The sequence below is a fragment of the Homo sapiens genome, chromosome 7 (genome assembly GCF_000001405.40).
Source record: "Homo sapiens chromosome 7, GRCh38.p14 Primary Assembly".
NCBI classification, from domain to species: domain Eukaryota; kingdom Metazoa; phylum Chordata; class Mammalia; order Primates; family Hominidae; genus Homo; species Homo sapiens.
In genome coordinates, this window is record NC_000007.14 from 157,241,315 (window position 1) to 157,258,226 (window position 16,912).

Genomic DNA, 16,912 nt, shown 5'->3' on the forward strand with positions numbered 1-16,912 from the left:
ACCATCAAGAAACTGAAAATACAACACACTGAAAGAGAAGATACTTGTGGCATATATATGAAGGACTCCATGATAAAAATGGGCGAAGGATCCAATTGGACATCTCTCCAGGGACTGGCAGCAAGCAAATGGGCCATTGGTTCGTGCAAAGATGGCCAGCATCACTAGTCATCAAGGAAGGGCAAAGCATAGCCACAGGCTGCCGCGCACACCCGCGAGTACGGCGGGAATCAAACCAGGAACCGCAGGGTTGGTGAGGATGTGGAGGAATCAGTCCTCATGCATTGCCAATGGGAAGATAAAATGGTGCAGCCACTTTGGAAAAGTTTAGCAGTTCCTCAAAAGGTTAATTACCTTTGGACCCAGCAAACATATTTACCCAAAAACTTGCACACAAATTCTCACAACAGCATTATTCCTAATAGCTAAAAGATGGAAATGACTCAAAGGCCCATCAGCTGACAAACGGGTAAACAGAATACGGTTCATCCATACAGTGGACTATTACTGGGCCGTAAAAAGGGGTAAAGCACTGACACATGGCACACATGGATGTGCCTTGAGAATGTTCTGCCCGGTGAGAGCAGATGCAGAGATCACCAAAGACATGGTTCCATTTATATGAAATGTCCAAAACAGGAAAATCTAGAGACAGAAGGTGGGTGAGTGATCGCCAGGGCTGGGAGGAACCAGGAGTGGCAGCTGAGGGATGTGGAGTTTCTTTTTAGAATAATGAAAATCTTCAGAAATTGATTGTGGCGATGGTCATACAACTTTACGAATATAATAAAACCTTTGAATGTAAGTTATGTGGGTGATATCCCAGTAAAGCTGTTACAAAGGAATCGTGCGGTAGGTAACGTGGTGACTGAGAGAGCCAGTGTCACAGAAGTTAGAGAAAGCAGCAGTCAGTATCAATCGGAGTTCATGGATGCTTTCGTTCTAAAGCTGGAAGGAGTATAGTGATTAGAGCATGAGCTGTTGTTAGGGAAACATAGTACCTGATGGTAACGAAATCTGTTATCATCGAAGGCATCATTGTCCTCAAATTTCTCAAGAGGTGGCTCGACAGATTTCTAGTCTGATATTTTATTCTCCTATATGGCAAAAGTAGAATTTTGAAACTTGAAAGATGTTTTCTTCTAATTGTTGAAAATAGTTCTTGGTTATGTGGGGTACCTTGAGACTGAGCCTGAGTTGTTTTTTTTTTTTTTTTTTTTTTTAAATTCCTACTGTCTTTCAGAAGCAGGAGTGTAAAACTGTCCTCAGATGCTCAGATGTTTGCTTCTTGTCAGTGGAAGTGGGAATATGGGTTTGCTACTTTAGCGAACTTCCTTGTTCATGAAGATGTTTTTTATCTTCTAGAAATATTTTGGTGAGCAGGGTCAGGGGTTTCTGTGTTTTGGAGCCTGAACCTGGAAGCCATAGAACTAGAAGTCGAGGAAAAAAAGGAAGGGTCGAGCCAGGTCTGGTGGCTCAAGCCTGTAATCCCAGCACTTTGGGAGGCCAAGGCGGGAGAATCACGAGGTCAGGAGTTCTAGACCAGCCTGACCAACATGGTGAAACCCCGTCTCTACTCAAAATACAAAAATAAGCTGGGCGTGGTGGTGGTTGCCTCTAATTCCAGCTACTTGGGAGGCTGAGGTAGGAAAATCGCTTGAAACCGGAAGGCAGAGATTATGGTGAGCCAAGATTGTGCCACTGCTCTCCAGCCTGGGTGAAAGAGGGAAACTCCATCTCAAAAAAAAAAGGAAGCGTCAACTCCAAGCTGCTCAAAATGTATCATATTGTGGCTCGATCGCTGGAAGCCACTATGAGGAAAATAGGACAGGAGATGTGCACGTGTCCTCCACGGTCCCCATCCCCCATCCTCTGTGCCCTGCAGGGCTTCCGAAGTGAAAGCCGAGTTGGAGATGAGAAGGGCAATCTCTGCAGGCTTTCCTTGTCTTTATGGAGTGCCAGGGTCTCAAGGAAGAAAAGGTACGAGCACTGTGAGGCCTCGGCAGCTCTGCATGCTGGGGATTTGGGCAGCCTCTGTAGAGAAGTAAGAGTGCAGCACCCGTGTCCTGGTGTGGTGGTTCAGGATTTGCAAGGCAGAGTTGCTCTTTTTCTCTGAGTAACAGCTAGTGGGCTCTGCTCAGTTATCCGTGGTAGACATCTGCTGAATGAGGAGTGAGTTCACCTCAGCTCACGTTTAGAGATTGGCTTTAGGGCACCTGCCAGTGGAGTATTAGAGTGAGGCCCACGGCCTGGCCCCTCCCAGGGAGCTTGGTGTCCTCCTGCTGCTGTTCCTGCATGTGAGGCGCAGGGGACACTGGGACAACACGGATTTTTTAGTGCCAGGGTAGCTGTGTAGACCAAGTGTTGCGGGAGTTGATGGTGTAGAAAGCTCTCTGGAATAGGATTGTGAAGATCTAGGACTTGAAATGGGTGTTGACGTATACATAACCTGAAACCCACAATCCGAAAACTCTTAACACAAGAATGAAAGGGTTTTTTTGCAAACAGATTCATGAATGCAGAATTCCAGTATGTAATGTGGTCCCTGACATATAGTTGGCACTTAATAAATGTTTGTTACATGAATGGGCACCATATGTTGTATTTGGACTCTTGCATTAAAGATGAGGTATGTTGCCAGGCGCGGTGGCTCACACCTGTAATCCCAGCACTTTGGGAGGCCGAGGCGGGTGATCACCTGAGGTCAGGAGTTCAAGACAATCCTGGCCAACGTGGGGAAACCCTGTCTCTACTAAAAATACAAAAATTTGCTGGGCATGGTATGCGCACTTGTAATCCCAGCTGCTCGCGAGGCTGAGGCAGGAGAATCGCTTGAACCCAGGAGGCGGAGGTTGCAGTGAGCTGAGATCGTGCCATTCATTGCGCTCCAGCCTGGGCGATAGAGTGAAACTCCGTCTCGAAAAAAAAGAAAGAAAGATGAGGTATATCTCCTGCCCCCTAGGAGTTTAGAGTTAGTTACACAAGCCCCTAGTGGTCCCAGTGACTGAAGGGACTTTGTTTTTCAATTCCAACTTACTAATTCTGAAGCACAATTATTAAATAGCGTGTTGCTATTAGTATACATTCTTATTTTATGTTTCTTTTTTGTTTTTTAAATTATATGGTTAATATGATATGAAATAATTAAAATTATCTGCTTGCTCAGTTAGGATGGCTTTAAAGCAAGACATCATCTCTTATATAGTTTTTAGATTAAGTTATAAATGTTCACTTTAGAGCTGCCTGAAGATTGATAGAGATGCATTTGAAAAGCATTATTTTTTTATTGATTCTTAATGTAGTAAATTACTGAAGTTATTTGGCGGCAAACAGAAATGGTCTGTGATGTGGTTCACATTTATTCTGATAGAGCCACAATTTGCATTAATTGCGTCGCGACTGCACTCACTTATATTAAAAGGCTTCTACTATAATTAATCCTTTTTATTTCAAATCATTTTGGCACAATTTCTAGCTATAAACATTCATAAAAGACAGACAGTTGAAAAATTCGTTACAGGTCTTTTCCATATACCTATTGCTATTTTTTTCATGACAAGTAGTTATTGATATGCTTCTAGGAACAAGCGTGGTACAGCTGGCTGAGAAGGCCAGTGTGAAAAATGCTAAGTGGATTATTTTGCATAAAAAATAGGCAGTTTTTGAAGTTGTATAATTAACCTGTGTTTAGAAAATACCTTGATTTATGCTTACATTTGTATCTCAGTTGCATACATTATGGAAATTTAATTTATAATCCATTTAGCTGATGCAATCATAGTTTTTAGTGCCATCATTTATTAGTGCTTGTATATTAAATGCTCTGAAGGTTTAAACCTGCCTCATGTAAAAAATGGTACCTATGCATTTACATTTTATGAGTCACAGTGGGATTTCTGTTTAAAATTCAGGTAGTTCTGATATATTTAACTAGTTTCACTGGTTTATTGTTACTAATGCAGAAATGGCAAACAGTGACCTTATATATTGAACATCAAATGATTTACACTTCCAGTTTACTTTTAAAGTCCACTGTACAAATGAGGGCTTTTCTTCAGCACCTGGAATCAATCATGTAGTTGTATGCAGAATGTTCCCCTTGGCTTTGAACTCGTCATTCATTTCGAAGTGATGCCGTTTATCAGTGCTCCAGGTTAATAGTATTAACCATCCTTAACTTTAAACAAACTGTGACTTTTCAACACAACTTTCTTTACATTATCAGGAGATGATGACTATGTGCCTGTTGCCATTTTATTCATTCTCTCATTAAGAAACCCTTTTTTGCTATCTTTTCAAAATTAATTGGGTAATCATTAGTCCTCAAATCAGAAATAAAAGCACAAGGACATAATACTTTGGTTTACCTGGCAGAGGCCAGCCGCAGTCTTCCTGGAGGGGATGTTATGCCGGCTCTAGTTATCAGACATGTGCCTGAGCTACTTAAAAAACAGCATTCTTCAGTCAGGAGTTCGAGACCAGCCTGGCCAATATGGTGAAACTCCATCTCTACTAAAAATACAAAAATTAGCTGGGCCTGGTGGTGCACGCCTGTAGTCCCAGCTACTCAGGAAACTGAGACAGGAGAATCGCTTGAACTCGGGAGGCGGAGGCTGCAGTGAGCCGAGATCGTGCCACTGCACACTCCAGCCCGGGCAACAGAGGGAGACTCCGTCTCAAAAAAAAAAAAAAAAAAAAAACAGTGTTCTTCACAATGTCTGTCATTTTCTGAAACAAAAAGCCAGTGGTACTCTAGATGTTTGCTTTTGGGAAAACCTCAACAGCTATTTTCTCATTTTCTCCAGTCGTATCAGTGGACGAGTCCTTAAAATGTGAATCTCAAGGGGTGTCTGAGCATGCCCTGTTGGAGTGTATAAGTTCTGGAATACTTATTTAAGGATGCGCATTTTATAGACTACACATACGAAGTAGATTATTACTAAATACGGTAACTGGTTGGAAGCTGTGACTAAGCAAAGGACTCACTCCCCACAGGAGCAGTGGCTCACAGTTGAAACGTTTCTCCTTTGCTGGAAGCTTGCAGAAGCACAGTCCCGGCTCTCTGGAAGCTACTTACTCCCATGTTATTAATTCACACAGATCGCTCTAATATTTACAGTGCATGATATGGTTGGGTGATGGCCTCTAGGTTGGAAGGGTGACTTCTGAGTTGACTGTCTCATGGATGAATGACTACCCCATAAAGTTTTGTTTTGATTTTGGTATTCCCTGGGTAGCACCATAGCACTTGAATCTTAAAACAGTAGGATAAAGAGGGTCTGGGTCTATCACAGCATCTCCTGCAGCACAGCTCATAGTAGTCATTTGCAAGGTATGGTTAGTCCAGCCTTCACCTTCCCTCTCTCTGTCCTTCCTGCCGTCCCTCATTCTCGGGCAAAAATTCCAGTGCTGCACCTCCAGACAGTAGGAAGGCCCGTGACTGCCTCTGTTGAGAGGGTTTCTTTCTCTAAAACTGTTCTCCACCTGTTCTCCACACCCCCGGGGGTAATTAGACTACCTCTGTTTGACCTGGGAAAATAGGATCACTGTAAATACACATCTCTCTGAAGACTGGATATTTTCTCTTTTTTTGAGACGGAGTTTTTGCTCTTGTTGCCCAGACTGGAGTGCAGTGGCACAATCTCGGCTCACTGCAACCTCCACCTCCCGGGTTCAAGCGATTCTCCTGCCTCAGCCTCCCAAGTAGCTGGGATTATAGGCATATGCCACCACACGTAGCTAATTTTTTTTTATTTAGTAGAGACGGGGTTTCACCATGTCGGTTGGTCTGGAACTCCTGACCTCAGGTGATCCAGCCGCCTCAGCCTCCCAAAGTGCTGGGATTACAGGCGTGAGCCACCGCACCTGGCCTGACTAGATATATTCTAACACGAATGGCTTTTGTAGAGGAAATTGAGATTTCTTGTTTACTTCCATTCCTTTACCTTAAGTTAAAAAATTGTCCAGATGGACCACATGGAAACAAGATAATTAATGTCTAACTGCATGTCTAGCACAGTGCCTGGCACCTAGTACCTAGTAAGTGCTCAAGGAATGGTAACTGTTGTCTCTATTGTCTTTATTAGAAAACTTTTGGCCGGGCAGGATGGCTCACACCTATAATCCCAGCACTCTGGGAGGCCGAAGTGGGTGGATCACCTGAGCTCAGGAGTTTGAGAAAAGCCTGGCCAATATGGCAAAACCCCGTCTCTACTAAATATACAAAAATTAGCTGGGCATGGTGGTGGATGCCTGTAATCCCAGCTACTGGGGAGGCTGAGGCAGGAGAATCGCTTGAACCTGGGAGGCGGAGGTTGCAGTGAGCTGAGATCGCGCGGCTGCACTCCAGCCTGGGCAACAGAGCAAGACTCCGTCTCCAAAAAAAAAAAGAGCATAAGTAATATTTCTTGACATGTGAAAATCACATGAAACCCAAATTTGGAACATAGCCACCCTCACTCATTGACACATTGTCCATGGCTGCTTTTGTGCTGCAGGGCAGAGTGGCATATGCGGTTATGAACTGGGACCCCCCAAAACTGTGCTCAAATCCTAATACCCCATCCTGTGGGCACGGCCTTGTTTGGAAATAGGGTCCAATAGCTGCGAGGCCTTGTTTGGAAATAGGGTCCAATAGCTGCGAGGCGTGAGTTCATGTGGTTTTCAGTCTCGCAGTGTGTGATCATTTGCCGTAGCCACCTTGGGAGACTAACAAACCTGCAGTTCCTGAAGGATTCACCATCCTTCTGTTGAGGAGGAGCATTTGTTGGCTTCTGTCTCACAAGAAGGATCTGTCTCTTCATAATTCCACGATTTCGCTCCTAGGTGGTCTGTTCCAGAGTTCTCTGCATGCTTAGTGCGTGCATTGAATGCCTGCACGGGATCCTGGAGCACAGTACCTGCCCACTGAATATCAGCTTCCATCTTCGGTACTATGAGGAGAAAATACCTGCTCTCTTAGGATTGGGTTTAATATCAAGTTGAGCATATGGCTCTTTGTTTGTAGAAGGCTTGTATATTCGATGCTAACGTTGTCACTGTTCTCTTTTGAAGGCTCTCTATGAGAACATGCTGGTGGAGCTGCCCTTTGCAGGCTTCTTTCTTTCCAAGTTGCTTGGAACCAGTGCCGACGTGGACATTCACCACCTCGCCTCCCTAGACCCTGAGGTGTATAAGAATTTGCTCTTTCTGAAGAGCTACGAAGACGATGTGGAGGAGCTTGGGCTGAACTTCACTGTGGTGAACAATGACCTGGGAGAGGCGCAGGTGAGGGGTCAGGAGGAGGATTCACATACCTGTATAGCAAGTAGCAGCATCTCCTTGTGTGTGGAAGTCCATTTGTGTTACAGCGTTTGACTTCCGCACATTTTAGTTAGAATGACTGTGGCTGTGAGTTAGACGTCGAAGCATATAGCTCCAAAGCACCTTAGCCCTGGCGTCTGAGCTGAGTGCAGTTCCTGCTCCCACGCATGAAGCCTGTTCCTGCCCGGCAGCCCCTCCTGCGGAGCTCCACTCTCGAGGCTGCGGCCCAGGCTTGCTGCTTGTCTGGCTCTTCCCGGTGCTGGGGGTGGCCGTTCAGCAGCTTCCCGGCAGGACCCCTTGCTTAGTCCTCACTCCTTGCCCGCTCAGAGCCACCTCAGCTGCTCCAGCACTGTCTAGGGGGTGTGTTCATTACCCATCTGGTTACTTTTGTTACTTATATCCTTTTTAAAAAAGAAAAAAGAAAGGTCTATATTAGAGATTCAAACTGATTTTCTTAATAACAGCTTTATCAACATGTAACTCACATACCATAAAATCTGCCCTTTTTAGTACATGATTGAGTGGTTTTTAGTATATTCGTAGAGGTGTGCAGCCATCATCACCCTAGCCAATGTTAGCACATTTTCCTCGGTCTACAGAGCAACCGTGCACCCATTAGCAGGCTCCCCCACCTCCCGCAGGCAGCCACCAGTCCACTCTGTCTCTGCATGGGCCTGCTGTGGACACTTCACATCGATAGAGTCTTTTTTTTTTTTGAGATGGAGTTTCACTCTTGTTGCCCAGGCTGGAGTGCAGTGGCGCAATCTCGGCTCACCACAACCTCCACCTCCCGGGTTCAAGTGATTCTCCTGCCCCAGCTTCCCGAGTAGCTGGGATTACAATGCGCCACCACGCCCAGCTAATTTTTGTATTTTTAGTAGAGATGGGGTTTCTCCATGTTGGTCAGGCTGGTCTCGAACTCCCGACCTCAGGTGATCTGCCTGCCTTGGCCTCCTGAAGTGCTGGGATTACAGGCGTGAGCCACCGTGGCCGGCACGACAGAGCCTTTTACGTGGTCTTCCTTCACTTGTAGTTGCATGGATCAGGACTTCATTCCTTTTCTGGCCAAATGATATTCCATTATATGGATATACCACAAGGTCTTTACTGGTTGATGGACATTTGGGTTGTTCCTATGTTTGGGCTAATAAGAATATTACTGTTATAAACATCCACATACAGCATACTAAAATAATTATTAATGAGTTAGTAACATCTGGGATTTGCTTCAAATACACTCTGTGCATCCATAATCTGAAAATCCAAAATGTTCCAAAATCCAAAACTTTCTGAGTGCCAACATGAAGCTCAAAGGAAATGCTGATTGGACCATTTCAGGTTTTTGGATTAAGGACTCTTACTGATAAGTATAATGCAAATATTCCAAAATTTGGGGGGAAAAAATACAAATCCAAACACTTCTGGCCCAAGTATTTCACTCAGATAAGGGATACTGACCCTGTGTGGTGAGAACAGGGGCAGGAAGTGGGGCTATCAGTTCCAGAGACTGGCCGGGAGGTGTGATGCCTGATGAACTGGCTGTGTGGGGTTGGGAGCTCATACACTGTTCTGTCTACTTTAGCATATGGGGCTTTGTTGTTGTTGTTGTATTGTTTTGAGACGGGGTTTCACTCTGTCACCCAGGCTGGAGGAGTCTAGTGATGGCATCTCGGTTCACTGCACCCTCAGCCTCCTGAGTAGCTGGGATTACAGGCGTACACCACCAAACCTGGCTAATTTTTGTGTTTTTTGTAGAGATAGTGTTGCCCTGTGTTACCCAGGTTGATCTCAAATTCCTGAGCTCAAGCGATCCTCCTGCCTCAACCTCCCAAAGTGCTGGGATTACAGGCATGAGCCACCATTCCTGGCTAATTTTTGTGTTTTTTATAGACATGGGTGTCTCCCTATGTTGTCCAGGCTGGTCTCAAAGTCCTGGGCTCAAGTGATCCTCCTGCCTCAGCCTCCCAAAGTGCTGGGATTACAGATGCAAGCCACCATGCCTGTCCAAGAGCCATATTTATTTGGTTACAACTTATTTAGTTGCTTTTGTTTCTGCATATTTTTCCATACCATAGAGCTGAATTTTCACCAATGCAAAATTTAGATAATTTGGCGGGGGGGCTGTTACTGTCATTAGGAAGTACTCGACATCCAGTGATGTCGCTTGCTGCTAGGTCTTGCACCACCTAGTGGCCTGATTTCTAAATGGCATAAAAGCCTTCGGACGGTGAGTGTTGTGGTGACCTGCCTGAGGCCTTTGCTAATGCGAGTATTTCCCATTTTTCCTTCTGAAATAAATGTTAATAGTGAAACGTCGCATATGCAAGAATTCCATTAAAGCACTGCCGATAATACTGGAATCTGTTAAAAGCAAAAGTGTGAAGTTAAGATGTTCCAGTTATTCATAGAGATTCCCACTGAGTTAAAAAATTATAGATAATGTATGAGAATAATTATACTAAAGAGCCTAATGAGAAAAATTAAGAAATTCACTAGTGAAGCACCTAATTTAGAGGGAGATCTTAAGGATTTCTGTAGAAATAAATAGGTAGTCCTCCTTACAAGTTTTTAAGTTTATAAAGTATGATTTAAAGACTTGTAATATGCAAATACTTTATTGTGTCAGCAGGTTATGTTAATTAATCATCCCTTTTAAAATATGGTGCTGCTCTCAAATTTGTTTTTTTCAGTGTAATCAATTTGGCTGTTAATCTGTTTAATAGTGACCATGAAATTTTAGACGACTAATTTACATAGAACTCTTTCTAGCAGAAAATGCTAAGGGTTTAAGAAGGACCCACAAATAATCATCTGTTAGGTAGAAAAGATTGGACTTGAGTCACGACACCTTGGTTCAGGTCCTGGTTTGGCCGCTTTTCTGTGAGGCTTAAGGAAGTCACAAGACCCCTTCCTCATCTCAGACGGGTGTGAGTGCCGGAGGATGAAATGAGCTAATGGAAGTAGGTCATGTATGGTGGTGTCTTGTGGGGCTTTATGGATTCCAAGTGAAAATAGACTTTCTGGAGGAGCAGAAAGGACAGCTCTTGGTATCTTGCTGTCCTGAGAACTGCTCCAGTTAAATATATTTGTATTTAGAGGAAATTTTAAATATGTCCCTCAGATCTGAAATTTAGCACTTATGTGACATGATTTTTAAGTACACATAGTTGTTTAGGCTTAGCCTGAGAGAGAATTTTAAATTAAAAGTAGTGTAACCGTTTAAAAGTTATTAGAGGGGCTGGGCGCAGTGGCTCACGGCTGTAATCCCAGCACTTTGGGAGGCCAAGGCAGGCAGATCATTTGAGGTCAGGAGTTCAGACCAGCCTGGCCAACATGGTGAAACCCTGTCTCTACTAAAAATACAAAAAACTGAGCCGGGCGTGGTGATGTGCACCTGTAATCCCAGCTACTCGGGAGGCTGAAGCACAAGAATCTCTTGAACCCAGATGGTGGAGGTTGCACTGAGCCAAGATTGCTCCACTGCACTCCAGTGTGGGTGACAGAGTGAGACCTTGTCTCAAAAAAAAAAAAAGTTATAGAAATGTCAGTTTTCTCTGATCAGGCAAGGTAATTGGGAGCCTTGGAAGTTCCTTTAACTGATAACTTCACTGGTCCTTTGTCTTCCAAATCATACAAGTACATCATCATTTATTACCTGCCTCTAATCCATTTAAAGGAAGGGGTGGTATTTTATACATTGAAATATAATAGCTAGCCTCCTGAGGCTTGGTTAACAGATGGACTGTCAGCTGAGTACAAGCAAAGGAATTAAGATAATGAACACAATCTTTAATCAGAATGAAGACAATGGAATTGAAAGCCCATTCTTAGGCTTGATGGTTCCAAACCTTAGGAAGTGAATTATTGAGAATAATTGTATCATCCTTTAAAATGTGAAACGTTAAAAGAAGCAGATCTGGTAAGTTGAACGTTCAAGTTCAATTTGAACATTCTGTATAAAATGAGAACCAGCAAACGAGTCTCCTATAACCATCAGCTGTAGGATGACTTAAGTCAGGCTCTCTAGCACATTTGTGAAACAATCTTTCTGTAAATGGTAAGAGACTGGGACATCAGTGCCATTGCCCAGAGGCAGCAGTCTTGTCTGTTACTCTGGGAATATTAAAGCTACCAGGAAAACTGAAGGCTGTGAAAAGAAAAGAATGGAAAGGTAGGGAAGTTGAAATGTCTTTGTTCATTTATTTTGGGCTTATTTTATATTTTCATTGTCCACAGTATAGGTTGCCCTCATCTAACCCCAGGAATGCAGTTGGGGTGTTTTTGTTGTTTTTTTGTTTTGTTTTAGAAATACAGGTGGGGGTCTTGCTTTATCTCAAACTCCTGGGCTTAAGGGATCCTCTTGCCTTGGCCTCCCACAGTGCTGGGATTAGAGGCGTGAGCCACTATACCCGGCCTGTTTTTTTGGTTTTCTTAATAAATACTTTTTAAAAATTTTTTTATTTAAAATACACTCTTTATAAATTATGATTACATGTTTATATTGTATTTTGCTCGTGTACTGTTTTGTATTTATGAATTCATATAATCATGTAATCACAGCAATTCCAAGTCAGACAAACAAATATCACCATTTTATTAATGGCCAAAAGTTTCAAGGTGTAAAGTGACTTGTCTGTCATACAAGTGGGGGACAGTAAGACCCAGGTCTGTGTTTCCGCTGTGTTGCTTTTCTCATGAGCACTCTTGTGGTGTTTATGGGAGCTCCACGTTATACCTGCAAATTCTGTGAGTATAGCCACGTACTAATAAAAAGTGTTCTTACTCACTCTGTTTATATACATAAGAAATTGGCTGATCTGTTATCACTGATCGTTACCACCACCCTTTGTATCGTAATTAAAGTGCTTTATAGTAATGGCATTGTGGAAGCACACAGGTAAGTGTGTGCTGCTTATATGGATGAAAATGAGAAATCACTTTACTACAGCCTTTGCGTTTCCTCCAGAATGAGTCGCTTTTTCTCTTCTGACTTAACGGTGATTGTTTGCTTCATGTCTTTGCCCTCTGTGATTTCTCATTTTTGTTTAAGTAAAATTGCCATGGTGACATTGCTGCACAATTCCCTAGTGCTTCGGAGGAAACATGGATGGTTAGTGATCTTAAAGACAGAGTAAGGTGCTGGGCTTCGGAGACTCTTCCTGGAGGTGCATCTTGGCATCTGCACAATGCTGTGCATACTCGGGTACTATTTCGTATTTAGATTCTTGTTCACAAAGCATCAAGTCCTATTTCCTTAAAACATTTGTTTCTTGCTTTTTTTTTTAACCTATTATCATACTTTGAGGATTTTGAGATCCTTACGTTTTGTATTCCCAGGTAGTTGAACTAAAATTCGGTGGGAAAGACATCCCTGTCACCAGCGCCAACCGGATTGCGTACATCCACTTGGTGGCAGACTACAGGCTGAACAGGCAGATCCGCCAGCACTGCCTGGCTTTCCGCCAGGGCCTTGCCAATGTCGTCAGCCTCGAGTGGCTCCGAATGTTTGATCAGCAAGAAATTCAGGTACCCTACCTGCTGACTTTCTGGGACACGCTTGTCACAGGAAATGAACAGGCTTTCTTAAAATTTACCTCAAATGTTATTATTTGAACTTTTTTCCTTAGGTATTAATTTCTGGTGCACAAGTTCCCATAAGCCTAGAGGACCTAAAATCCTTTACAAACTATTCAGGTATGTTATCACTGCTAGTTATTGTTTCTGAAAATGTTGCAGGTGGTCATATTTCCAAAGTAATTTTTATTTTATTTTAATTAATTTATTTATTTTTTTTTTTTCAGACTGAGTTTCACTCTTGTCGCCCAGGCTGGAGTGCAGTGGCGCGATCCCAGCTCACTGAAACCTTTGCCTCCCGGGTTCAAGCAATTCTCCTGCCTCAGCCTCCCGAATAGCTGGGATTACAGGCACCTGCCACCAGGCCCAACTAATTTTTGTACTTTGAGTAGAGACAGGGTTTTGCCATGTTGGCCAGGCTGGTTTCAAACTCCTGAGCTCAAGTGATCCACCCCCCTCAGCCTCCCCAAAGTGCCAGGATTATGGGCGTGAGCCACCATGCCTGGCCTCAAAGTAATTTTTATTGTACTCTTTTGTAGGGGTAATGTACATGGTTCAAAAACCAGATGGCTGAGTGCAGTGGCTCACGCCTGTAATCCCAGCCTTTGGGAGGCCGGGGCAGGTGGATCACTTGAGCTCAGGAGTTTGAAACCAGCCTGGGCAATGTGGCGAAATCCCATCTCTACTAAAAATTAGCTGGGCGTGGTGGCATACACCTGCAGTCCCAGCGTGGTGGCGTACACCTGCAGTCCCGGCGTGGTGGCGTACACCTGCAGTCCCGGCGTGGTGGCGTACACCTGCAGTCCCATCTACGTCGGGTGCTGAGGCAGGAGAATCACTGGAGGTGGGAGACGGAGGTCGTGAGATCTCAGTGAGCCGAGATCATGCCACTGCACTCCAGCCTGGGCGACAGGAGTGAAACCCTGTCTCTAAATAGATAAATATATACATACACAACGTACATGGGCAAAAAAAACCAGATGTTTAACATAGAAGATAGATAAATGGCCAGTAAGCAAATAAGCACACAATAACGATGTTCAGCATCATTAGTCATTATAGAAAAATGCCACTTACATCCAAATGAGATAACCCCACATACCCACTAGCTGTCTACTGGTGCAAGTGAGAGCTTTTTGAGGAAATGGAAATGTTCTAAAACTGGATTGTGCTGATGGTTGCAAAACTCTAAACTTACAAAAAATCATTTTTACATATAACCTGTGTGTATCCATGCGTATGTATCTCTTATCTGTAGTTTGCATTGTCCTACATCTGAAGTCTAATCTTTATGTAAAAGCAAATAATGCCTAAGGTCACGTTGTCCCCATGATCGGGTCATAAGTTTAAGGAAATGAAATCAGTCTGACCTTTCCTTTGCCAAGAGATTGTCTTCGGTTGTTTTCATTACCCATCTGCACTGAGGGCTTGCACCTTTAATAATCTCAGCTATGCCAGTAAATAGGTTTAAAATATTATATTCATTTTGGTGCCAATTAATGCACTTAAGACATTTTATTGGTGTTATTTCTGTAGTATATTAACAATGAGGGAACAATATACAGCAATTATTTTAGGTTTAGGGAGCACTTTACTAGATTAAAAGCTGTAAGTGGCAGACATTACATTTCAGAATAGTGGTCTCATCATATAGTGAGATTGGTTGTTAGCCATGGTATTAATATCAGAATGATAATAAGTTAGAAGGAAAGATGATAAAATTAATTTAGCCACCAAATCATGCTGGGAAAACACCCAGCTGTGTTAGTACTAGACACCCATTGTCTGTCATGTTAGATCTGTGGCCACGTGCAAGCCCCTTCTCTGCCGTCTGTTCAGCGGCGGCTTTGAACTGCAGCACGGTTCTTCAAAATAAGGCTCCTCTGCAGTAGTTCTTGGTGCCTGCATTCATCTTTATAGTTACAGGGTGATCCTTATTCTAGCTTTTTATGTATTTATTTATTTATTTTGAGGGCGAATCTCACCCTGTCACCCAGGCTGGAGTGCAGTGATGCAATCTCAGCTCACTGCAGCCTCTGCCTTCTGGGTTCAAGCAATTCTCCCACCTCAGCCTCCCAAGAAGCTGAGATTATGGGTGCGCGCCACAACATCCAGCGAATTTTTGTACATTTGGTAGAGACAGGGTTTCACCATGTTGGCCAGGCTGCTCTCGAACTCCCGACCTCAAGTGATCCGCCAGCCCGGGCCTCCCAAAGTGCTGGGATTACAGGTGTGAGCCACTGTGCCTGGCCCTGCTTTGACCCTCCTTAAGTTGCTCTCCCCTTCTCGTACTTTGCCCATCGCCTCCACATAATTGGCGGTGGGTGGGGTGGGGGCGGGGGGAGGCAGAGAATTCCGCTTTTGCATTTACAATCGGTCCTTCATATCTGTGGGTTCTGTCCACATCCATGGCTTCAACCAATTGCAGATTTTAAATATTTGAGGAAAAAGCAATGGTTGTGTCTGCACTGAATGTGTGCTAAGCAATATAGTGTCACAGCCATTTACACAGCCTCGGCATGAGATGGGATTGTACCAGTGCTCTAGAGATCATGGAAGTGCACAGCACGTACACAGGTGATACACACATGCCACGCCGTTTTAGAGAAGGGACTTGAGGATCCATGGACTTTAGTTTCCGTGGGTGTCTGGACCAATCCCTGTGGGTCCTGAAGGGTGGGTGTGCTTTGCATTTCATAAAGCATGTGTTCATTTTGCCATAGGAGGCTATTCTGCAGACCATCCTGTTATTAAGGTCTTCTGGAGAGTTGTGGAAGGGTTCACTGATGAAGAAAAGCGCAAACTGCTGAAGTTTGTAACAAGCTGCTCTCGACCCCCTCTCTTGGGGTTTAAGGTACACAACTTTCATGACATTTGCTTTAAAGACCACTTCATAATAAGAAAGGCAGCAGAACATTCAGTAGGGTTAAATGAAGTCCTTTTACATACACTTTTGTTTTTATCTTCAGCTAGATTTTTAATTAAGTACTGGTTATGATGTATATATTTTGGTGCTAGTTTTATTTGGGGTTGCTTTTTTTGTTTGTTCACAATAACCTAGTCATATGATAGTTACACATTGTGGTTATGATTGCCTGTGAACAAACCGTACATTTGGAGGGACTATTTGCAATATTAATAATGTCTCATAAATCTGTAACACATCTTGGGCTTTTTGCTACTGAACTGAAGCAGGTACAACGTAGAGATGTTGATGGAGTGTATATGCTACTGAGCCTTATTTTACCACTTCTGGAAATTAATGTTGATCTTACGTAATTTGGCTTATTTTTAGCAATTAAAATTGCCTCAGGCAGATGGATCATTTGAAGTCAGGAGTTCGAGACCAGCCTGGTCAACATGATGAAACCCTGTCTTTGCTAAAAATACAGAAAAATGAGCCAGGCATGGTGCCCTGTGCCTGTAATCCCAGTTACTTGGGAGGCTGAGGCACGAGAATTGCTTGAACCCAGGAGGTGGAGGTTGCAGTGAGCCGAGATCGCGCCACTGCACTGCACTCCAGCCTGGGTGACAGAGTGAGACCCTGTCTCCAAAAAAAAAAAAAAAAAAAAATTGCCTCAGGAACGTCTAATCATAATTCCTGTATTCACTGTAAATTAAAATAAAGCCATATTAACATTTAAAAATGCACACAGTGGTATATATATTATAGAATAATATATAATTAGATAAGTACTGTATGTGATTTGTGCTTATGAAACTTCATAGGCATTCACTTTCTTTTTTCCTTTTTTCTTTTTTTTTTTTTTTAAGTAAGATGAGCACTCGCTGTATCACCCAGGCTGGAGTGCAGTGGTGTGATCACGGCTCACTGCAGCCGCAGCCACCCAGGCTGAAGCAATCTGCCCACCTCAGCCTCCCAAGTAGCTGTGACTACAGGCATGTACCACCATGCCTGGCTGACATTTTGATTTTTTGTAGAGAAGGGTTTCACTGTATTCCCCAGGCTGGCCTCCAACTCCTGGGCCCAAGAAATCCTCTCACTTCAGCCTCCCAAGGTGCTGGGATGACAGGT

At 43.5% G+C, this 16,912-nt stretch overlaps 1 protein-coding gene across 3 annotated transcripts in view; it reads left to right on the plus strand.

The window, feature by feature from the left end:
• Positions 1 to 16,912, plus strand: part of UBE3C (ubiquitin protein ligase E3C) — a 130,445-nt gene that overhangs the window by 102,389 nt on the left and 11,144 nt on the right. For all 3 annotated transcript variants that reach the window (NM_014671.3, XM_005249564.5, XM_047421072.1), the window contains 4 exons: positions 7,054 to 7,266; positions 12,640 to 12,828; positions 12,930 to 12,996; positions 15,600 to 15,730. In NM_014671.3, coding sequence (NP_055486.2) covers positions 7,054 to 7,266; positions 12,640 to 12,828; positions 12,930 to 12,996; positions 15,600 to 15,730 — 600 coding nt within the window. The remainder of the gene's footprint in view (positions 1 to 7,053; positions 7,267 to 12,639; positions 12,829 to 12,929; positions 12,997 to 15,599; positions 15,731 to 16,912) is intronic.